This window comes from Homo sapiens, chromosome 1 (genome assembly GCF_000001405.40).
Source record: "Homo sapiens chromosome 1, GRCh38.p14 Primary Assembly".
NCBI classification, from domain to species: domain Eukaryota; kingdom Metazoa; phylum Chordata; class Mammalia; order Primates; family Hominidae; genus Homo; species Homo sapiens.
In genome coordinates, this window is record NC_000001.11 from 25861241 (window position 1) to 25884045 (window position 22805).

At 52.0% G+C, this 22805-nt stretch overlaps 1 protein-coding gene across 4 annotated transcripts, besides 7 other annotated features; it reads right to left on the reverse strand.

Moving 5' to 3' along the window:
- Positions 1-243: 243 nt before the first annotated feature.
- On the reverse strand, positions 244-14468 carry PAQR7 (progestin and adipoQ receptor family member 7). 4 transcript variants are annotated; one of them, XM_011540862.3, is made up of 4 exons: positions 14248-14468; positions 9369-9454; positions 5184-5270; positions 244-2621 (listed from the first exon to the last, which is right to left on the reverse strand). In XM_011540862.3, exon 4 carries the CDS (start codon positions 2597-2599, stop codon positions 1559-1561), a length of 1041 nt encoding a protein of 346 aa, XP_011539164.1. In that variant the 5' UTR covers positions 2600-2621; positions 5184-5270; positions 9369-9454; positions 14248-14468; the 3' UTR covers positions 244-1558. The 4 variants fall into 4 exon arrangements, with proteins under 4 accessions (XP_011539164.1, NP_848509.1, XP_047303920.1 ...); NM_178422.6 differs by lacking the exon at positions 5184-5270; XM_047447964.1 differs by lacking the exon at positions 5184-5270 and having other exon boundaries at positions 9613-14309.
- Positions 1408-2177: an enhancer, noted in NCBI's record as "H3K4me1 hESC enhancer chr1:26189139-26189908 (GRCh37/hg19 assembly coordinates)". NCBI's record gives its function as "activates a minimal SCP1, AML or CMV promoter by ChIP-STARR-seq in naive H9 embryonic stem cells {active_cell/tissue: H9 hESC(naive)}" and the evidence as "EXISTENCE:reporter gene assay evidence [ECO:0000049][PMID:30033119]".
- Positions 8476-8977: an enhancer, noted in NCBI's record as "H3K4me1 hESC enhancer chr1:26196207-26196708 (GRCh37/hg19 assembly coordinates)". NCBI's record gives its function as "activates a minimal SCP1, AML or CMV promoter by ChIP-STARR-seq in naive H9 embryonic stem cells {active_cell/tissue: H9 hESC(naive)}" and the evidence as "EXISTENCE:reporter gene assay evidence [ECO:0000049][PMID:30033119]".
- Positions 11508-11597: an enhancer, noted in NCBI's record as "active region_469". NCBI's record gives its function as "activates an Ori minimal core promoter by ATAC-STARR-seq in GM12878 lymphoblastoid cells {active_cell/tissue: GM12878}" and the evidence as "EXISTENCE:reporter gene assay evidence [ECO:0000049][PMID:35858748]".
- Positions 13448-13497: an enhancer, noted in NCBI's record as "active region_470". NCBI's record gives its function as "activates an Ori minimal core promoter by ATAC-STARR-seq in GM12878 lymphoblastoid cells {active_cell/tissue: GM12878}" and the evidence as "EXISTENCE:reporter gene assay evidence [ECO:0000049][PMID:35858748]".
- Positions 13648-14147: an enhancer, noted in NCBI's record as "H3K27ac-H3K4me1 hESC enhancer chr1:26201379-26201878 (GRCh37/hg19 assembly coordinates)". NCBI's record gives its function as "activates a minimal SCP1, AML or CMV promoter by ChIP-STARR-seq in primed H9 embryonic stem cells {active_cell/tissue: H9 hESC(primed)}" and the evidence as "EXISTENCE:reporter gene assay evidence [ECO:0000049][PMID:30033119]".
- Positions 13648-14427: a biological region, named in NCBI's record as "H3K27ac-H3K4me1 hESC enhancer GRCh37_chr1:26201379-26201878".
- Positions 14048-14427: a silencer, noted in NCBI's record as "silent region_466". NCBI's record gives its function as "represses an Ori minimal core promoter by ATAC-STARR-seq in GM12878 lymphoblastoid cells {active_cell/tissue: GM12878}" and the evidence as "EXISTENCE:reporter gene assay evidence [ECO:0000049][PMID:35858748]".

The following is a 22805-nucleotide window of genomic DNA, read 5'->3' on the forward strand; positions in this document are numbered from 1 at the left end:
AACACATTATTTTAACTACTTATAAAACTTTAGTAATAAAACTGCCGCCCACTCCCTTGCCAAACAAATTTTGTATATATAGATATGGTATATAAGGCCCCAACCCCATCCCCCAGCAAAGATAAAACAAGAACTGCTCCCTGCACCCTGTGTCCACTCCCAGGGGCCCCAGCTTCCTCCGGAAAACCTCCAGTAATGTGAGCAGGGGCCCCTCCCGGAAACAGGAGACAAAAAACAAAGAGGTGGCTACTGTCACAGTACTTTATTGCATCCAGGCCATAATCCAGACCACCCAGCCCCAACCCCACTTTTCCTTCCACACCTCTTGGTCTCTGCACAGGTTTCCCTCTGCCTGGAATGCCCTTCCTATTCTCCATCTGCAAACTCCTATTCACACTCCCCAACCTAAGACCCTGAGGGTCCCAGGCAGCACAGGTTAATCCCTCTCCAGCACCTCCCTTGACAGTTCATTCTGATATCAAAGCCTTTGTCGGCCAGGCGCAGTGGCTCATGCCGGTAATCCCAGCACTTTGGGAGGCCGAGACGGGCAGATCACCTGAGGTCAGGAGTTCAAGACCAGCCTGACCAACATGGAGAAACCCCGTCTCTACTAAAAATACAGAAAATTAGCCAGGCATGGTGGTGCATGCCTGTAACCCCAGCTACTCGGGAGGCTGAGGCAGGAAAATCGCTTGAACCTGGGAGGCGGAGGTGCAGTGAGCCGAGATCGCACCATTTTACTCCAGCCTAGCCAACAAGAGCGAAACTCCTCAAAAAAAAAAAAAAAAAAAAAAAAAAAAAAAGCCTTTGTCATCTTGCATTGATCCACAGGGCCCAGTGGTGACCTGCCTCTGAGCAGAGGCCCAGGAAACACTGAATGGATAAATGAATCCGTAACAAGGGAACCAGGAGAGAAGCTGGGAACAGGCCGTGTGGGACACAGAAGCCAGAGCTAGGAGATCTGGGGCTCACTGTCTGGGATAGTGACTGAAGGAGTATGAAGCACTGGATGGGACCCATTTGTATCTGGCACAATCTACTACCTTTGGGGTCTCTCTGCAGCTCCAACACTTGTGGCTGGGCTTCAAGGGACAGTAAGATCCTGTATATATTTTGGGCCTACCCCTTCCGCATCCAGCAATGAAATCTGAGTAGAAGTAGGTTGCCAAGGCCTCCCCTGGCTCAGCTCAAATCTGACTCTGGCCTAAGTTTCACCTCCTGCCTAGACAATCTAGAAGCCCCAATCCTCACCAAGCTGACCCCCAGCCTCACCCCAGTGAGTGGCAGTGGAAGGGCAAGCTGGAGTGGCCCACACCGTTAACTCTTTCCCTCTCCCTGGGCAAGGAGCTGGGGCAGGCCCAGGAGTGGACCCCAGCAACTCCTAGCCAATCCCTAAATCCAAGAATTGGCCAGTGATGCCCTTGGCAGTTGAGTCGTGCACAGAGAGTCACTGTGGGCCAGACACAAACAACTTTACCAGGCCTTGTTCCCACCTGGAGCCAAACCCAGACCCCTGTCCCCCAACTATACCTCCCTCCCTACCAGATGCCATCCCCCTTCACTTGGTCTTCTGATCAAGTTTGCGCTGTACCAGCTGGCTCAGGAGGAATGCAGTGAGGATGCTGCTGCCCACCGTGAGCAGGAAGAGGCCAGAAAAGTTGTGAGGCCAGTGCGTGTGCAGAGGCTCATAGATGGGCCGTCGGGCCTCATAGTCCAGTGCCACAGCCTCCAGCTGAGCCAGCGTGCACAGCACCAAGAAGATGTGGAAAAGTTGGTGGCCCTGCCCGAAGACATGGCAGCTGCCAGGGAACCAGCGCTCGGGCATGAAGGTAGAGAAGAAGGCAGCAGCCAGCAGAAAGAAGACCACCTGGCACTTGTGGTAGAGAAGAGCTGGATCATCCGTGGTGGGGTCGGAGGACACGAAGATACGATGCACCACAGGACTAATGTCCAGTGCGTAGGCCAGGACGGAGGGCACCTCCTGGCATGTGCGGCCCAGCAGGCCTGGTTTCTGGATGTACTTGTTATAGCAGGAGCCAATGCAGGAAAGCCAGGCGAGAAAGGCAGCCATGGGCAGAAAAACAGCCTGCACCTGGGCATGCCAGGCGGGCTCGATAGCATAGTAGAAGTGTGCCAAGGCACTGCCAAACTGGTACACGGCCACCCCCACATAGTCCAGGAAGAAGAAGCTGTAATGCCAGAACTCAGACTTGGCCTGCAGGAGGTGAGCCAAGGCACTGAAGGAGAGGTAGGTGAAAGAGGCAAGGACAATGATGAAGAGGGGCAGGGCGTGTGGGTCTCCCCAGAAGTCCACGGTCTCCACAAAGAGGGCCAGCCGCAGCAGCAGTACCAGGGCCGCCAGCAGGTGGGTCCAGACATTCACGGCCTCGTTGTGCTGCTGGAACAGCGTGCGGAAATAGAAGCGCCAGGTCTGATGCAGCGGCCGGTAGCCCGCATAGATGTACGGCTTCCAGAAGAGCGGCGGCACCTCAGCTCGATCCACCGTGAAGACAGGCTCTGGCTGCAGAGATAGCTGAGGCTCCTGGATGACCTGCCGCAGACTCGGCAGGAGGTGGCTGAGTTTCTGGGCCATGGCCATGGCTGTGGGCCTGGGCAGGGAGCTGGGAGAGAGACCAGAGCAAAGTCAGGGGCCTGGTGTCCTCACCCCCACGAGCAGCAGCTGGGGGGCTCTGATGCCCAAATCCTACTCCCTCCTCTCCGACAGCCTTATCCTTACACTCGGTTTAAGAACAGAAGACTCATCCTATGGAATTCCTCATCTCTGACCTCATGAGAGCAAGGATCCCTGATGTATTCCAGGTACCTAGAACAGTGCCTGACACATAGTAGGTGCTCAATAAATGTTTGAGGAATGTATTAACTAATAAGGCTCCCTGTCTTGTTAATTTCCTTTCCGGTCCCAGGCTCCACACAGCAGCACCAGCTGTTTTCTCTCCTAAAGAACAGATCTGGCCATGTGAAACACATGAGAGGGGTGAGGCGCTCTCAGCCCGTGTTCATGCCACCATTAGTGTTCAACTGGTGGCAATAATGACCTTGCTAATAGACCCACTGCCTCTACCTATCTAGCTCCTCAAGAGTGGCCAGGGTCCCCTACTGACCCTCCATTACCCTGCATGACCTGGTCCCTGCTACCCTCTCCAGTCTTGTTGCACAACCACAGTGCACTTCAAATCCAGACACAGCCCCACCAACCCCTGGACTGCTCTTTCACATGTCTGTAGCTTTACACGAGCCGTTCCCTCTGCCTGAGACATTTTCCTCATCTTGCCTACTAGGCAAACCCCTATTCATTCCTCAAAAACCCATTTCTTGGCTAGGCATGCGGCCTCACTCCTGTAATCCCAGCACTTTGAGAGGTCAGAGCAGGAGGATTGCTTGGGGCCAGGAGTTCAAGACCAGCCTGGGCAATGTAGTGAGATCCTATCTCTACAAAAAAGTTAGCCAGGTGTGGTGGCATGTGCCTGTAGTCCCAGCTACTGGAGAGGCTGGGGCAGGAGGATCCCTTGAGCCCAGGAATTTGATGTACAGTGAGCTCTGATCACACTACTACTCTCAAGCTTGATCAAGCTTGATCTCAAGCGAGATCCTGTCTCTTAAAAAAACAAACAGCGGCCAGGTGCGGTGGCTCACATCTGTAATCCCAGCACTTTGGGAGGCTGAGACGGGCGGATCACAAGGTCAGGAGATGGAGACCATCCTGGCTAACACGGTGAAACCCCGTCTCTACTAAAAATACAAAAATTTAGCCAGGTGAGGTGGGGGGCACCTGTAGTCCCAGCTGCTCGGGAGGCTGAGGCAGGAGAATGGCGTGAACCCAGGGGGCGGAGCCTGCAGTGCGCGCCACTGCACTCCAGCCTGGGTGACAGCGAGACTCCGTCTCAAAAAAAAAAAAAAAACCACAAACAAAAAAACATTTCTTCTGGGATGCTTTCCCTGGCCTCCTGAACCTCCTACGATGACCCCTCCACTTGAGTGCTTATCATCAGACCATCCTTTGACGATTTTCACATTTCTCATGATTGTTCATGTGAGCTCATCAAGGGGAGGCAGTTTGTCTCATTATTTTGTGAATCCCTGGTGCTTAGCAAATAGCTGGCACTCAATGTTTGCTGAATGAAAGAACAACATGACCGGGCGCAGTGGCTCACGCCTGTAATCCCAGCACTTTGGGAGGCTGAGGCAGGCGGATCACCTGAGGTCGGGAGGTCGAGACCAGCCTGACCAACATGGAGAAATCCTGTCTCTACTAAAAATACAAAACTAGGCCGGGCATGGTGGCTCACGCCTGTAATCCCAGCACTTTGGGAGGCCGAGGCGGGCGGATCATGAGGTCAGGAGATCGAGACCATCCTGGCTAACACGGTGAAACCTCATCTCTACTAAAATACAAAAAATTAGCCAGGCGTGGTGGCAGACACCTGCAGTCCCAGCTACTCGGGAGCTGAGGCAGGAGAATGGCATGAACCCGAGAGGTGGAGCTTGCAGTGAGCCAAGATCACGCCACTGCACTCCAGCCTGGGCGACAGAGTGAGACTCCATCTCAAAAATAAATAAATAAATAAAAATACAAAACTAGCCAGTTGTGGTGGCACCTGCCTATAAGCCCAGCTACTCCAGAGGCTGAGGCAGGAGAATTACTTGAACCAAGGAGGCGTAGGTTGCGGTGAGCCGAGATCGCACCATTGCACTCCAGCCTGGGCAACAAGAGGGAAACTCCGTCTCAAAAAAAAAAAAAAAGAAAAAGAAAGAACAACATGACACCATTCTGATAACACTTCATATCTTTCCAGGCCCAACTCAAAAGACCACTTTTTTCCTGAAAGTCCCCATTTAACAACTGATGAACCACACCCCCACTCTCAAAATCCCCTCTCCAGGCCCTCCCCCAACTGCCCATGGTTGCTAGTTCCAAATAAATCCAATATAACCCCTTACCCTGGCATTCAAGGCCCACATGACCTGCTCCTACTACCCTTATTCCCCACCTAACCCCAATGTCACACCCTGTGCCACCTTCCTTTCCCTGCACTGAAATCCTTTAAGACCACTACAAGCTGCCACCTCTGGGGCCTCCTTACTGCTCCCCCAATCCCACTTTCCCCTGACCTATAATGGGTTACACAGTTTAACCTTGATTCATTCATTTAACAAACACTTACTGAGCCCTTCTTTGCCTCAGACCCTGTGCTGGATGGGACAAAGAACAGAGTGAAAGATTTGATCCCTGCCCTCAGGAATGTCATGATCTGGCAAAAGATATAGAAACAAAAACAAATCATAGCAAATGCTCACACAGCACCTGCTAGACGCTTCCCAGCAACCCTGAGAGGCAGACACTATCATTATTCCCATTTTCCAGGTAAGGAAACTGAAGTACAGAGAAGTTAAGTGCCTTGCCCACCCACCTAGCCAGGAAGTAGCAGATGGCAGAGGCATGCTCTGAACTCAAGTCTGTTTTTTTGTGTGTTTTGTTTGTTTGTTTGTTTGAGACAGAGTCTTGCTCTGTCACCCAGGCTGGAGTGCAATGGCTCAATCTCGGCTCACTGCAACCTCCGCCTCCTGGGTTCAAGCAATTCTCCTGCCTCAGCCTCCCGAGTACCTAGGATTACAGGTGCCCGCCACCACGCCCAGCTAATTTTTGTATTTTTAGTAGACAGGGTTTCACCACATTGGCCAGGCTGGTCTCGAACTCCTGACCTCAGGTGATCCACCTACCTTGGCCTCCCAAAGTGTTGGGATTACAGGCGTGAGCCACGGCACCCAGCCTTGTTTTGTTTTTAAGATAGCGTCTTGCTCTGTCCCCCAGGTTGGAGCACAGTGGTATAATCACAGCTCACTGCAGCCTTGACCTCATGGACTCAAGCAATCCTCCTATCAGCCTCCCAAGTGGCTGGGGCTACAGGTACATGTTACCATGCTCAGCTGATTTTTTAAATTTATTTTTACTTTATTATAGAGTCAGGGTCTCACTTTGTTGCCCAGGCTGGTCTCGAACTCCTGGCCTCAAGCGACCCTCCCACTCGGCCTCCCAAAGTGCTGGGATTACAAATGTGAGCCACTGTGCTCTTAACCACTACCCTAAAATGCACTTTGCAACACAAGGTGGCAAGGGCTATTTATCGTTTCCTAATTTTATACTGTTTTACCTGGCTTCAATTACATAATTCAGGCTTACCGTCATTCATTGTGTTATTCATTAACTCAAATAGTTATTGAAAAACCTGCCAGACAATCCCTCCCTGCCTGCCAAATAAATTCCCTCCAAGCTTACTTATTGGACTCAGTGTTCAGGTTCATCAGATATTTATTGTGACTACCTCTGCACCAGTCACCAGACAAGGAAAAGAGATTCAGGCAGGATAAAGCATTCATGTTCTCTGCCCCCAGTGGCACTGTGATCACCCCCAAAACCAATCAAATAAGTCACACACAGTCCAAGTAAATGCAGAGTGCTTGCTATGCAAGGGCAGCATCAAGACGACCCCACCCCCACAAGCCCACATCTCCAGAGCCTGATTTGCATTCCTAAGCTCCTCCTGCATTAGGATTCTGGCATCAGCCCTGCTCCCCAGTCTTTCCTAGTCCAGTGGGGAAGCAGGAGTCGTTACACTGCTGCACAGGGGCTGCTACTTAGGACAACAGGCATGTGCAGGACTCTTCTATTCCCCAGCGAGCCTGGCACAGGGCAGATTTAGGAAGCAGACATTGCTGCTGCACTAATTGACGGGGCCACTTCCATCCAGAGCACAAGACCTCCCTTGGCCAGCCTTGCTGGTTGGGGAGCCAGTTCTGGATTTCTCCATCTCCCCAAGAGATGGTTTCAACCTCAACAATCTGGCCCCCACTCTTGTCCACAACTTTGTCTTCCCAACTGAGAACCTTGGGGGGACCAGAAAAGACCTCTGAAAGCATCTTGGGCAACTCTCTTGTTTTACACTTAGGAAAGCAGAGCCCAGAAACTGGAAGGCCTTCCCCAGAGTCCTCCCACCCAGCAAGGTTTCTATTCCACTACTGCGGCAAAGACCAGCGAATGATGGCGATGGCTGTGCCCTGTGGACACCTAGCTCCTGGGTGCCTGTGATCTGATAAGTCCAGTCCTGTGCTCCATATCCCACTCTTGGAACTTCCCAAGATATAACAGCACATTAAAGACTCTCAGAAGGGCTGGACACGATGGCTCATGCCTGTAATCCCAGCACTTTGGGAGGCCGAGGCAGGTGGATCACTTGCAATCAGGAGTTCGAAACCAGCTTGGGCAACATGGTAAAACCCTGTCTCTATGAAAAAATACAAAAATTCGCCAGGTGTGGTGGTGTGCACCTGTAGTCCCAGCTACTTGGGAAGCTGAGGCAGGAAGATCCCTTGAGCCTCAGAGGCAGAGGTTGCCGGGAGCCAAGATTGTGCCACTGCACTCCAGCCTGGGTGACAGAGTGAGACCCTTTCTCAAAAAAAAAAAAAAAAAAAAAGCTCTAAGAAGTCCTGCAGCAAAGAAGTTGGCTTAGCTTTGTTGAATCAACATTTGCCAAGCTTATGTGACCACGGATTCCTTCCGTAGTAATAATTATATTATAAAGCCACTTGAGGCCGGGCGCAGTGGCTCACGCCTGTAATCCCAGCACTTTGGGAGGCCGAGGTGGGTGGATCACGAGGTCAAGAGATCGAGACCATTCTGGCCAACATGGTGAAACCCCGTCTCTACTAAAAATACAAAAATTAGCTGGGCGTGGTGGCACGTGCCTGTAGTCCCAGCTACTCGGGAAGCTAAGGCAGGAGAAGGCCTTGAACCCGGGAGGCGGAGGTTGCAGTGAGCCAAGATCGCACTACTGCACTCAAGCCTGGGCAACAGAGTGAGACTCCATCTCAAGAAGAAAAAAAAAAGCCAGTTTAAATGTAGAAAGTGTTTACTATATGCCCACTCTTTACAGTCCTGTTGCAATTAACTCTCATAACTTGCCTGGGAGGTAAGTACTATTCTGCCCATTTTGTTGTTGCGGATAATGAAATTCAGAGAAGTCAAAAGCTCCCAGCTGGGCGCAGTGGCTCACACCTGTAATCCCAGCTCACTGGGAGGCCGAGGTGGGCGGATCACCTGAGGTCAGGAGTTCGAGACCAGCCTGGCCAATATTGGGAAACCCCATGTCTACTAAAAATACAAAAATTAGCCGGGCATGGTGGTGCATGCTTGTAATCCCAGCTACTCAGGAGGCTGAGGCAGGAGAATCGCTTGAGCTCGGGGAGCTGAGATTGCAGTGAGCCGAGATCGTGCCACTGTACTCCAGTCTGGGTGACAAAGTGAGACTCTCTAAAAAAAAAAAAAAAGAAAAAAGAAAGGAAAAAAAAAAGCTCCTTACCCAAGGTTGGAGGATGGGGGAGGGAGGTGGAGCCAGGACTGGGCTGTAGATGCTTGCAGACACTACTGCTGCCCTGCTCCAGGCACACTTGTCTGCATCCTACAGAACAACTTTGCAAAATCCTGGTCTAAAGCAGGCAACCAGGCTCTTTCTTATAAATTACTTTCTTAGGCTTCTAGCAATTCAGTCTCCCTCAGTTGCTGGCTACCTGCTTGCACCTGATCTTCTCCAGGGAGGCCCTGGCTCAAGCCACCTCCTTAGGTGAGTGACAGCGCTCGCTTATACCTCCCTCCCCCAGATATAATGGGCCCTATGGACAAAACCTGAGGCACCATGCTAGGATGACAGAGACCCCGCTGCCCTATTTTCTTTAGACCTCAGCTAGAGGCCTCACTCCACCTAAGTAGGTCTGTTTTCAGAATTAGTTTCCACCTCCTGACTCCATGGAAAGGGACTCTGATCCAGGGGAAAGGAAAAAGCAGGGGCAGGGGTCAAGCCTGAGCCAGCAGGATGAGGATGGATATCCGGAGGGCACCATCAGGGCATCCTCTGAGTGGTCAGCCTCTGAGTCGTGTGCCCACCAGGCTGCTGGGCCCTGTCTATTCAGGCAGCTCAGCCCAGCCCACCTCCATGGGCCCCTCCAAGTCTGGCAAATTGCACTGGGTACCTGGGGGTTTCTCTCAAGCCTGGGGGCTGGTGACCTCTACTATGGGACTGGGCAAATTCACCAGATGCTGAGCACTTCCACAGATGAGGGGCACTAGGGGCGGGGCTTCCAGGGACTGGGGGTGTCTTGTGTGATGTCACCAGAGGGTGGGGCTAAAGACAACCTCCCACACCTCTCCTCCCCAACTTCACCACTCCCATAGTGGTGAAATCCATGCTAAACTGTGTGCCTTCCTAGCCAGGCCTCTGCTGCAGCAAGCAGCTCACCATTCACCTCTGCATGAGACTTACGGGGAAACCGAGGGCCAGCTGAAAAGTTTGACTTACCTAAGATCACACAGCAGGGCAAAGGCAAAGCCAGGTGACTAGGGCCTGGTTGATGGTGTCAGGCAAACTTCAGTGGTTCCTGTCCACTACTCAGTGGGAATCAGAATGGAAGAAGGTTAGGAATAAAGGAAAAAGCAGACGGTATAAAAGTGCACAGAGCAGATGGACTTCAGATTCAGACAAACCAGGTTTGACTCCTGATTGCATAACATGCTAGCTATGTGACCTTAGACAAGTGACTTACCTTCTCTGATCCTTAGCTCCCTCATGGGAATGACAATATTATCTACCTCATAGGTTGCTGTAAAGATTAAATTTATTAGAACAAAGTTTTAGCTTCATTTAGGGACTCAACAAATATTGCAATTGTTATTAATAATAATAGTAGTAGTCTTTGAAATATCCCCAGCCTGAGAGATTTGCTTCGAGTTTTCTAAAAAAACCATCCTCTTTTAGCCCTCAATAGCTAGTTCCATTAGATTTGGGGGCCTCAGGAAGTTCACTGTGTGCTTAAACATTTACCTTATCCCTAGGGGTGTAGACCAGGGAAATCTGGCTAGAGTTTGGACTTCCAAGGACACTGACCTTACTTAATCATTAAATTGTTCTTAGCAAAGACCATTCAGAGTAACTGTTTTGAATTCACAGAGCCCTGTAAATTGGTGCTTACCCACAGGCCCAAGAGATGTGGCTAAGCAGTGACAGTCCCAGGGGAAGGGGCCTCAACTCCAGCAGCTCAGAAGCCCTGGAGAGCACGAGGGCACAAGAGGGTGAACCAAATTAGCAGGTGATCCAAATGGCATATGGTCTGGCCTGGACATGTCTTGCAGAAGGTTTGGGAGTCTTCTGGGTTGGCTGAACCTCTGAAGTGCGATCTCCAGGGCTCCAGTGGGAGTGCCTCTGTCAGCCTGAGCCGCTCCTTCCTCCCTTCCCCTCCCCTCCACTTCCTCACCCCTCCCAATTCATATTCCTCAACTCAAGGTCAGCCCTCCTCACCTCTCTCCTTAACGAAGGCTTGCAAGCCCCAGCCTGCTCTCCAAGGATACACACTGTCAAAGGTTCCCATAACACCCGTGGGGCAAAACAGACCAGGCTGCAGGGAGGTGGTGGAAAATGGGCTTATGGAGAGGGAGAGCCCTGGGTTACCCCCATCTCACAGATTTCACTCAGTGCTTATACTATATGCCAGCCTCAACGCTACCCAGGCATTCTGTGTGCTGGGGCACACAGAAAATGAAGCAGACAGGCTCCCTGCCCCAACGGGCTCACCCACACAAATGCCCACAGGGCCTAGGAAGATCCAGCCTGGAGGGAAGCCAGCCAGGTAGTGAGCCTGGAGAACTGGAGAAGACTGCTGCCCTGGTGGTGGACATCCTCCACTAATCTCTGCAGGCTCTCCGGCAGGCTGTTTCAAGAGACGCCACAGGCCTCATTTTTATGTGAGGATGAAATTTCGGGTCTGGAATTCACCTGCTGTGTGACTCTGCAACAGTCCCTCAACCTCTCTGAGCTTGTTTCCTTTTGGAATCAGAGGATTAAAATAGCTGCCTCTTGGGCTCTTGTGGAAGCAAAACAAAGCCATGGATGCCAGGTGTTGGCTCTGGCACAGTGCTGGCTCTGCCGTTTCTGTGGGATTCTCGTCCTGACTCAGCCACTCAATCCCTGTGTGACCTTGGACAAGTCCCCTCCCCTCTTGGCCCTGTTTCTCCAAATGTCAAAGGAGAGAGTAAATTCACCAGTGACTTCCAAGGGCCCTTAGGCCCTGGGACAGTCCAAGAATATTTACTTTAGGCCTCCTATGTGCCAGGCGCTGCAGCTTCCTCAGTGACAGAGCCATTTAAACCACTGCCCTCGCAGAACTAACAGCCCAGGGAATTCATACCAATGGTAACACCACAGGATTTTTTTTTTTTTTTTTTTTTTTTGAGACAGGGTCATGCTCTGTCCCCCAGGCTGGAGTGCAGTGGTGCAAACACAGCTCACTGCAGCCTTGACCTCCCAGTCTCCGGTGATCCTTCTTCAGCCTCTTGAGTAGTTGGGAATCACAGGCGCACGCTACCATGCCTATTTTTTTAAATTATGTGTAGAGACGAGGTCTTGCTATGTTGCCCAGGCTGGTCTCGAACTCCTGGTCTCAAGTCATCCTCCCACCTTGGCCTCCCAAAGTGTTGAGATTATAGGAGTGAGCCACAGTGCTCAGCCAACACCTCAATATATTAATACCCTGCCCTCCTGGAGCTTACAGCTCAGCTAAATAACACCTATTATAAGCATTATTTGGGTACAATTCCACTTCCTCTTTTGCCTCCTTCTTGGCATGCAAAATATTCGTTGTTGCCTTTCTGGGCCCTGATTGTTCAGCACATTCTCTTAAAGACAACTTTTTCTCAGCATGGAAGGGAAAGTCTAACCCCATTAGATACAAATAATAAGGCCAGACCAATGTTAATACTGGGGCTATTGGAGGAAAACCCTCTTGAAGGGTCTTTAGTGAGGATGACCCAATATGGCACCTGAAATATCATTAAGGAGATTAGGTGCTACCACTCATAATATATAGTGGCTGGGTGTTTACCAAGAACTTTCACACACATTTTACCTCTCCCTCACAACTCTCTGGATCCACAGCCAACCTGGGAGCCCAGCCCTGGAGGCGGGAGGGCAGAGCACATCTATCTGACTCCAAAACCAGCGCTCTTGCCCTTTGTCCACCGTGGGTAACTCCCAGGCACCCAGTGGTGACCACAGATTATACAGGCAAAGTTTTCATCCCTGGCTGGCCTCCCAGTCTCTTAGCAACTGGGTCACCTCCCTCAATGCAGGCTAACTCCCCAACTTGGTCCAAAGTGTTTAAAGAAAAAGTCCCTACATGTCTTCCAAAACTGAACAGAAACTGTTTTTTTTTTTTGTAACTTTGGCACTTGGGACCTCCATGTATTTGTACTGGAAAATGTGATCAGAATGAAATAAGTAACTATTTCTTTTCTTGAGATAGGGTATCACTCTGTCCCCAGGTTGAAGTGCAGTGCAGCCATCACTGCAGCCTCAACTGCCCAGGCTCAAGCCATCCTCCCACCTCAGCCTCCTGAGTAGCCCTGACCACAGGCACACAACACCACGCCTGGCTAATTTTTTTATTATGTGTAGAGACAAGGTCTCACTATGTTGCCCAGGCTGGTCTTGAATTCCTGGGCTTGAGCAATCCTCCTGCGTTGGCCTCTCAAAGTGCTGGGGTTACAATCATGAGCCACTGTGCCCAGCCTAATTCTTTTCTTTTCTTTTTTTATTTTTTGAGACAAAGTTTCACTCTTGTTGCCCAGGCTGAAGTACAATGGCAAGATCTCGGCTCACTGCAACCTCCGCCTCCCGGCTTCAAGCGATTCTCCTGCCTCAGTCTCCTGAGTAACTGGGATTACAGGCATGCACCACCACACCCGGCTAATTTTGTATTTTTAGTAGAGATGGGGTTTCTCCATGTTGGTCAGGCTGGTCTCAAACTCCCAACCTCAGGTGATCCGCCTGCCTCGGCCTCCCAAAGTACTGGGATTACAGGTGTGAGCCACCATGCCCAGACTTTTTTTTTTTTTTTTAAACAGGGTCTATGCTCTGTCCCCCAGGCTGGAGTACAGTGGCACCATCTCAGCTCACTGCAACCTTGAACTCACGGCTTAAGCCATCCTCTCACCTCAGCCTCCCAAAGCGCTGGGATTATAAGTGTGAGCTCCCACAGATGGCCTGAAAAAGCAATTCTTAAAGAAAGTATTCTGTGGAGCTGAGACTTACAGCTGCTCTGAGGAGGGGGAATCTCTTAGGCCCAGAGAGGTTGGGTGAACGAGCTATAGTCACCCAGCATGGGGCACAGAAAAAGGACCTGAGCTGCACTGCTGACCAGCAAGGAACCCTCTGGACAGAGAAACTAAGGCTGGAGAGGGGCAGCCTCTCAACAAAAGGACCCAGAGGTAGCACAGGCCTCATGACTAGAGGCTGGGTCCCTCTCTCCGATAGGAGCTCAGACTTGGGGTCCTGGGCTGTCCACCCAGGAGCAGCCAGACTCCGAATCCATCGAACTGTTCAGACTCCGAGGCCTTGGCTTGACCTAGCCCCACAGGCCTCCTCCAGGGGCTGCTACAGGGAAATTTCTGAAGGTCTTCAAAACCTGCAGCCTTGAGGCAAGTGCTGTGGGTTTTCCCCTTCCCTCACTGTGTGTGGGGGACCCCCAGGCTCTCCTGACACCAGGGGAGGCTCCCTCATCCCCCAAGGTGTCTAGACTGCTTGGGCCCATGGAGCAAGTGCCCCTCTTGGCCCCCAGCAGTGCTATTCCCACTGTTCCTGGATCCCTAAGTGGGACTCCTTCACATCAGCCGGTTCTGGGCACCCATACCCCTTCCTGTCCCGGTCTCACCTACATTCCTCCTCCAGAAAGCAGTGAGCTCCCTGACTGTCCTGCTCCAGGAAGGCAGCGGCCTTGCCCGGGCCAGACGCCCCTACCCACTCCCTGCCCTCCATCCTTCATTTTCTCCAAGCAGCCCTCCCCTCCCCTGCTCACTGGACAAACAGGCTCTCAGGCCCCCATCCGCATCCTCCTCAGCCGTGCTCCTTCTGCTCCTCCCACCCTTCCCAAGACGCCCCCATCCAGCGAGCTCCTCCTTCCTGCGCCCTCCGCTGGCTGCTTCCCCGGGCGGGCGTCCTCTCACTTAGCCCAGGTGCTCCCCTCCGGCTCCGCGTCCTGCCTGTCTTCCCCGGGTCCCAAGTCCGCCCCTGCCCCGCGGAGCCTTGCTCTTTCCACGTCCAGCCCCGCAGCCCCGCAGCCCCGCCGCGCCCCGTGGAGAGCACCCTCGTCTGCGGCCAGCCAGGCCTCCCCGTCTTGGCAGCCCCGTACCTGAGCCGGAGCCGAGCTGGGAGGGCCGCGGGGGCCGGGTCGGCGGAGCTGGCAGATAAAAGAGCAGCCGGGCAGCGGCCCCGCCCCAAGCCGGGGGAGGGCGGGCGGCCTCGGGCGCTCTGGCTACAGCCGCCTCCGCGGGCCCAGGCGACGCCGAGCGCCCCGCACCCCGCCCGCCGCGCACAAGCAGCTCTGCCCCGCCAGGCCCACGTGTTGCACGCGCGGGAGAGGGGTCGGCCGCGCAGAGGTGGCGTCTCAGGACTTCCTGTGGCGTCACACAGATGGGAAGACCGAGGCCCGGGAGTGGACTCCCGGGGCTCCTCGGCGCAGAGCTGCAGCCGCGCTTCTCGCACTTCGGGACGACGGGAAGCGCAGGCTCCGGCTTCTGGGCCCGGCTGACCCTGGGAGGGTCGGGGAGGGCGGCCGCAGGAGAGTGGCTGCGTTTCCCAGCTAGAGCTCGGCCGGCCCCTACGCTTACTCAGCCCACCCCGCCCCCTGCTCCCGAGGCCACTCTGCTCGAGATACGCCCCAGCGTTCGCACCTTCATTTCTCTGCTGGGGCAGCTCCACCCCCTCTTTGGGCACCCCTGGCTTCTTCAAGTTCCCACCCGAAACCCGCCCCTCGGGCAGCTTCCCCGGCTCTGCCCAGCCGAGTGCACCCAGCCTGGACCTGTATTCAAACACCCACTCTCTACCCTCTGGTGTTACACATTCCCAGCCCTGGGAGCACCTGAAGGGTGAGGAATCCCTTCACATAGCAGGCCCTCGGTAAATACTGGATCAACAATGCCACAGATTGCCCGTTCCTCTAGTATGCAAAGACCTGGAACAGGCAGAGTTGGGAGACCCCCACTCCCGCGGCTCTTGGGAGCACACAGTCTGCCGGATGGGAGGCCAAGAGGAGACAGCCTAGGAGAAGACGCCGCTCTGCCCTTAGGGAGTTCTGAGACCACTGGGAGAGGCGGTTGTGCCTAAGCACGATGCGAAGATCCCAGCCCCAGAGCTCCCGTAACTCACCATGGAATCTTGGGACAGTCTCCTTGTTCTCTCTGGGCCACAGGTTTATTATCTGTAAAATAGAAATAATACCACCAATCTGCCAGCACTGTTAGAAGAATTAAAAAAAGCAATGAGCATGAAGGGTCTTTGTCCACTGCAAAGTCCTAGAAGAAGATGTATTTCTCTATTATATTTGAAATTCATATAGTCAGGCCAGGCAAGGTGGCCCATGCCTGTAATGCCAGCACTTTGGAAGGCCAAGGTGGGAGAACTGGTTGAGCCCAGGAGTTCCAGGTTACAGAGAGCTATGATTGTAGCACTGCATTCCAGCCTGGGTGACAGAGTGAGACCCTGTGGAAAGGAAAGGAAAGGGAAAGGGAAAAGAAAGGAGGGGAGGGAAGGGAGAGAGAAAGAAGGAAGCAAGGAAAGGAAGGAAGGAAGGTTAGTTATATAATCGTAATGTAATAGCATGAAACCGGTCTCTCCTTCAACAGGTTCAGACAAACCCATAAGAATTAGTTAAATCTGTTACCTGCATGAATGGGAAGAGTAGCATAGAAAACCTTCATTTACAGCTGATAGAGAACAGGCAATGAAAACAAGTAAGGACATTATGGAGAAGATATTCTGCATAATAGAATATATTCTGTTATTGTGAATAAAAATTAAAAACTTGGAAGGTGACTTGGACTCAGCCTTCATTTTTGGAACACCTGCTCCATGCTGGGCTCCTTTAGAAAGCTACAGTTTGTTAAGCTCTTGCCATGTGCCAAGCGGTGCACTAAATGGTTGCAGTGACTACCTCCTTTGATCCAGACAACTCTACGAAGCACATACTATAATTAACCCATTTTACAAATTGGGAAGCTGAGGCTCAGAGAGGTGACAAGAGATTTTTCTGTTCTCATTTAACCCTCATTCATTCCTTTGAGGTGAGTGTGATGATCCTGTGGGGGCTCAGAAAATAATACACCAAAGTCCCCAAAGTGAAGGTCTAAGAAGCAGCCTCAGTCTGGTCCAAAAGTAGTGAATTATCTCAGTTTGATTGTTCAGTCAGTTACAGATCAAACTCCTTGTTCGACTCTTTACCCCTCCTCACTACTGCACTTGATGGATGGATGGAAAGAAGGAAAGAATGAAAAAAAAAAAAGGAAAAAGAAGAAAAGACAAAGCAAATTCCTGTAATCCCAACACTTTGGGAGGCTGAAGCGGGTGGATCACTTGAGGCCGGGAGTTCGAGACCAGCCTGGCCAACATGGTGAAACCCCATTTCTACTAAAAATACAAAAATTAGGTGGGCATGGTGACGCACACCTGTAATCCCAGCTACTCAGGAGGCTGAAGCAGGAGAATCGCTTGAACCTGGGAGGCGGAGGTTGCAGTGAGCCGAGATAGCGCCACTGCACTCCAGCCTGGGCAAGAAAGCGAGACTCTGTCTCCAAAAAAAAAAGAAAAAAGCAGACTCAAAAGCAGTCTCTGTCCTGCCCTCCTGTCTCTGACCCCTAAACCATAGAAACTAGAATATTTCTTTCCCAATGCAGGTCATAGAAACTAGAACCCTTTTCCCCCAAAACCAGGCATAACACCTAAAAATATTGCTCCAGGCCGGGCGCGGTGGCTCACGCCTGTAATCCCAGCACTTTAGGAGGCCGAGGCGAACGGATGACGAGGTCGAGAGATGGAGACCATCCTGGCCAACATGGTAAAACTCCGTCTCTACTAAAAATACAAAAATTAGCTGGGTGTGGTGGTGTGCACCTGTAGTCCCAGCTACTCAGGAGGCTGAGGCAGGATAATCACTGGAACCCAGGAGGCAGAGGTTGCAGTGAGCCAAGATTGCACCACTACACTGCAGCCTGGTGACAGAGTGAGACTCCATCTCAAAAAAAAAAAAAAAAAAATATATATATATATATAAATATAACTTTCCTGCCTCCCACCCCCACCCCACCCCACCCCAGTCTTTTTGTGTAACATGTGGCCATAAAGAAATTAAGACCCTTGGCTGGGTATGGTGGCTCACGCTAGTAATCCCAGCACTTTGGGAGGCTGAGGCAGGTGGATCACAAGGTTGGGAGTTCGAGATCAGCCTGGCCAACATGGTGAAACCCTGTCTCTACTAAAAATAAAAAATTAGCTGGGCATGGTGGCAGGTGCCTGTAATCCCAGCTACTCGGGAGGCTGAGGCAGGAGAATTGCTTGAATCCAGGAGGTGGAAGTTGCTGTGAGCCAAGATTGTACCACTGTACTCCAGCCTGGGCGACAGAGCTAGACTCCCTCAAAAAAAAAAAAAAGAAAAAAAGAAAGAAATTAAGACCCTTATTCCAGAAGGGTCCTACCCCATACCCAGGAGGGAGGAACGCTGCACAGAAAGGCCAAGAAGAATCTGGACAGACAGGTCTTGCTGGGCTTCCTCACTCTGTCTCTTATTAGCAGTCATATTTCTCCACAGCTGTCCATACGCAATTAGAATAGCTTGGAATCGCTTGAACCTGGGAGGCGGAGGTTGCAGACCTAGTTCTAGGAGGTTCTAGTTTCTATGGTTTAGGGGTCAGAGACAGGAGGGCAGGACAGAGACTGCTTTTGAGTCTCCTTTTTTCTTTTTTTGGAGACAGAGTCTCGCTTTCTTGCCCAGGCTGGAGTGCAGTGGCACTATCTCGGCTCACTGCAACCTCTGCCTCCCAGGTTCAAGCGATTTTAAGCGATTCTAATGGCATATGGACAGCTGTGGAGAAATATGACTGGACAAAAAGGGCATGTTCTAATGCTAAGCATAAAAATGGACAGTTTCCCCCATGTCTTTGGGTCCTCATTCTGAAGGCTCTGTGCCACATAAAACTATAATCAAATAAATTTGTCATGCTTCTTTCTTGTTAACTTGTCTTTGTTACAGGCTTGTTAGCCATGACCCTTATGACAGAGAGGAAAGAGATTACCCTTTCTGCCCCTACAATCCCTATTTTATGGATAGGAAAACTGAGGCCCAGAGAGGAGAAATTTCGTGTCCCAGGTCACACAGCTCCAGAGGTATTCAGGTTCTGGAAAGTGGATCTGGAGGTGTGCTTGTGGGAGAGAATTCACTGCATGAAACTAGGCTGTGGCTATTTGAGAGCTGAAGGATAAAACAGTAGAAGTAAAGACAGTGGACAGTTATGGCCAGATGCAAAGCCCCTTTTATGTGCTGTAGGTCCATGAGGCTGTTCTGCCAATATGTTCGTCTGTGGATGAGGAAACAGGCCTGGGAGAATGCTACTTGCCCAAGGCCACCCAGTTGGCTAGTGGTGGACCTGGATCCAAGCCTGCTCTTATCTGCTCCACAGTGCTGATATCAAGCAGGGAAGCTGGGGGCCCAGACACTTCTTTCTCTGTCCTGCTCTGCTCAACTCCTTTCCCCAGTCCAAGTGCTTCCCTGCCCCCCATCCTCAGTCCAGTCTGGGCAGTCTGACAGCATTCTGGCCACCTGGGTAAGGCCCAGTGATGCATGGTTCCAGGAGCCCGGACCCCTATAACCCTGTGAGCTCTGAACCCTGGAAGGGAGCCTTGTGGGTAGCCTGTGCATCATCAGGCTGCCCTTCCAGCTACCAGGTTCAGCCCCAAGTAGATCAAGGTCTCCAGCAAGCCTGGATTCCTGGGCAGACCTAAGTCCAGTACCTGAAAGGACTCAAAAGGCTCTGAGCTGGGAGACCATCAGCTCAGAGACCAAAAGGAGTCAGGCTCTGAGCTGGGAGAGCATCAGTAAGGGTTTCAGTGGACCTAAAGCAAGAGAAACAATGTGTAGGGCCTGAGCTGTCTCCAACACCTTCTTTTCTTTTCCCCCCAAACAAGGCCATCATTCACTAGAGGCAGCAAAGCAGCGAAGCACATGGGCGTATTCTGCCTGGGTTCACACTTTAACTCTACTGTGTACCAGGTCTTTGTGACCCTGGCAAATTTTGTAACCTCGCCTGACGCTAGTCTCCTCAACTCAAAAGCAGGGTCATGATATTCACCTCATAGAGTTGGCAGGAGGAGCGAATGGAATCGTACAAGGAAAGGGCTTACAGTGCCTGGCGTATAGTAACTGCTCAAGAAATGCCAAGTATTACTCTATTTCAATTCTTTACTCCACAGCAGGAGTACAGGACATCGGGAGCACGGTGCAGCAGGAGCACAGGGCAATGGGAGCACAATGCAGCAGGAGCACAAGGTGATGGGAGCACGGTGCAGTAGGAGCACAGAGCAGTGTGAGCACAGAGCAGTGTGAGCACGGTGCAGTGGGAGCACAATGAAGCAGGACTGATTTCCAAGACAGATTCACTGCTTTATGGCCTCCTTGGATGAGTCTCACAGAATGAGGAGGAGTTCACCAAGCCTTGAGGAGGGGAAATGACTTTCCAGGCAAAGGGAACAGTATGTCCAGGGCACAGAGGTGGGAGGGGAGGGGTAAGCTTAGGGAATGGGGCCTCGTCATGCTCTGGGGCTGGTGCACAGGGGACCTGGTGGTGGCAGATGACATTAGGAAAGCAGAGGTAGAAAGTTGGGTGGGAGGGGGTAGTTTCCCTCTCACTTCAAGCCCAGGGAGGGGGCTTCCAAAAGACTAGTCAGAGAGTATGTGCTGGGTGTGCCCCAGGACCTATGACCTGGTGTCTGACTCTTGCCTGAGAAGCCAAAGAGAAAGGACTGGCTGAAGCCCCCTAAGGCGGTGGAGTAGAGGGCTGCGGCCAGAGGGCACCGCACACACAGGTGGCCACAGGAGAGAGAGTCCACCTGGGGCGGCCTCGGATCCAGATCCCAGGAAGTTCTCCTCTGGTGGCGTGAGGCCTCAGCAGGAAGAAGCTGGAGGCATCTGTGATGTCCTGGGATTGAGGGAGTCATCATGAGCACCTGGCTGGTGGAGACCCATCCACCTTCCACAAGGGTGCAGCTGGGAGACCCTGCAGGGACCACCCCCAGGGCCGCAGGCATAAGAATGTGCCAGGTCACACCTTCTCGGTCTAGCTCAGGTCGGCCTCTACAGTGGGGACAGTGCCGCGCATGCTGACACCAGCCCCACCCCACTCGCCCACCTGGTGTTCCTCCGCTTTCTGCCTCAGGGCTCCCTCTGAAGCTGGGAGGGCTGCCTAGCCCACTAGCTCAGATGCAGACTGGAGGCACACGCAGCTGACACCCAGTGGGATGCGGGAGCAGTTGAGGAAACCCCGGACTCTGGTCCAAAAGAAAACAACCCGTTCTGTCTGCCCATTGGGTTTCCTGGAATCTGGACTCCATTACCTAAAGCAGCAACCTCCTTCCTGTCTCACTCGACCTCCTGGGATCACCTCCCATACAAACTCTGGCACATAGGTCTCTGTCCCAGGCTTTGCGGTGGGGAGCCGGACCAGGACTTCCATGAAAGTGCTCCTCTCACCCCCCAAACGAGAAAGAGCGTCAGCTTTTTGTTTGTTTGTTTGAAACAGAGTCTCACTTTGTCGCGTAGGCTGGAGTGCAGTGGTGCAATCTTGGCTATTCTCCCACCTCAGCCTCCCAAGTAGCTGGGATTACAGCCGCGCACCACCACACCCGGCTAATTTTTCGTACTTATAGTAGAGACGGGGTTTCACCATGTTAGTCAGGTTGGTCTCGAGCTCCTAACCTTAGGTGATCCACCCACCTCAGCCTCCCAAAGTGCTGGAATTACAGGCTTGAACCACTGCACCGGGCCAAGCATCAGCTTTAAACCCCTGCCAAGCCCAGAGAGCATCAATGCTTGCTCAAGACAGTACCCAGGAGTCAGGCCCTTCTTGACTCCGGAACCTCTTTCCTCTCCCTCCTGCATCAGCCCTGGAGGTGCCAGAACCACAGTGGGCAGCTGGGGAGGAGATGAAAGGGCAAAGGGCAGAAAGAGAGGAGAGACCAACCATGGCCTCCTTTCCTACTCCAGACTCAAAGATGTTAACACCTGCCCACTCCGTGAGCTTTGCACTTGGTGTTCCTTCTGCCTGGAATTCATTTGGCCTCAGCAGGACTGGCTACATACCCTGTACACAATGAAAATGTACACAAAAATTAAGAACTTCAGGCCGGGTGCGGTGGCTCATGCCTGTAATCCCAGAACTTTGGGAGGCTGAGATGGGCTGATCACCTGAGGTCGGGAGTTTGAGATCAGCCTGACCAACATGGAGAAACCTCGTCTCTACTAAAAATACAAAATTAGCCAGGCATGGTGGCACATGCCTGTAATCCCAGCTACTCAGGAGACTGAGGCAGGAGAATCACTTGAACCCAGGAGACGGAGGTTGCCGTGAGCCGAGATCGCGCCATTGCACTCCAGCCTGGGCAACAAGAGCGAAACTGTCTACATAAATAAATAAATAAATAAAAATTAAGAACTTCAAGATAGGTGTCAGGCCCTGTGCCTGGCTCAGGTCACACAACAAACAGCGGCAGGGCTGGTCTCCTCACTTCCCTCAGGTCTATTTAATGTCACCTTAATTAGCTGGGCATGGTAGTGCATGCCTGAGGTGGAGGACTTGAGGCGGGAGGATTGCTTAAGCCAGGAGTTCAAGGCTGCAGTGAGCTATGATTGCACCACTGTGCTCCAGCCTGGGTGACAAAGCCACACTCTGTCTCTAAGAAAAAAATAATAATAATAGGGCCGGGCGCAGTGGCTCACACCTGTAATTCCAACACTTTGGGAGGCTGAGGCGAGTGGATCAACTGAGGTCAAGAGTTCGAGACCAGCTTGGCCAACATGGCAAAACCCCATCTCTACTGAAAATACAAAAAAAAAAAAAGTAGCTGGGCATGGTGGCAGGCGCCTGTAATCCCTGCTACTCAGGAGGCTGAAGCAGGAGAATTGCTTGAACCCAGGAGGCAGAGGTTGCAGGGAGCCGAGATCGCGCCATTGCACTCCAGCCTGGACAACGAGAGTGAAACTCCATCTCAATAAATAAATAAATAAAATTAGATCGAGGTAATGGTTGCAAAACCCTGTACATTTACTAAAAGTCATTGCAATGTACACTTTTTTTATGAGACGGAGTCTCACTCTGTCACCCAGGCTGGAGTGCAGTGGTACCATCTCAGCTCACTGCAAGCTCTGCCTCCCAGGTTCACGCCATTCTCCGGCCTCAGCCTCCCAAGTAGCTGGGACTACAGATGCGTGCCACCACGCCTGGCTAATTTTTCATATTTTTAGTAGAGACGGGGTTTCACCCTGTTAGCCAAGACGGCAAGATGGTCTCGATCTCCTGACCTCGTGATCCACCCTCCTTGGCCTCCCAAAGTGCTGGGATTACAGGTGTGAGCCACCGCGCCCGGCGCAATGTACACTTTTAAAAGAGGTCAACTTTATGGTATGTAAATTGTGCTCTAAAGAAGCTGTTTAAAAAAGAATATGGGAGGCTGAGGCCAGAGGATTGCTTCAGCCAGGAGTTGGAGAATAGCCTGGGCAACATGGTGAGACACAGTCTCTACAAAACATTTAAATATTAGCTGGGTGTGGTATTATGTGCCTTTAGTCCCAGCTGCTGAGGCTGAGGTGGGAGGTTCACTTGAACCCAGGAATTCCAGACAGCAGTGAGCTTATAGTTGCGCCACTAC

Bases quoted from the DNA above. Each gene is read 5' to 3' on its own strand.
- PAQR7 (XM_005245746.4), bottom strand. From the start codon at position 2,599: ATGGCCATGGCCCAGAAACTCAGCCACCTCCTGCCGAGTCTGCGGCAG.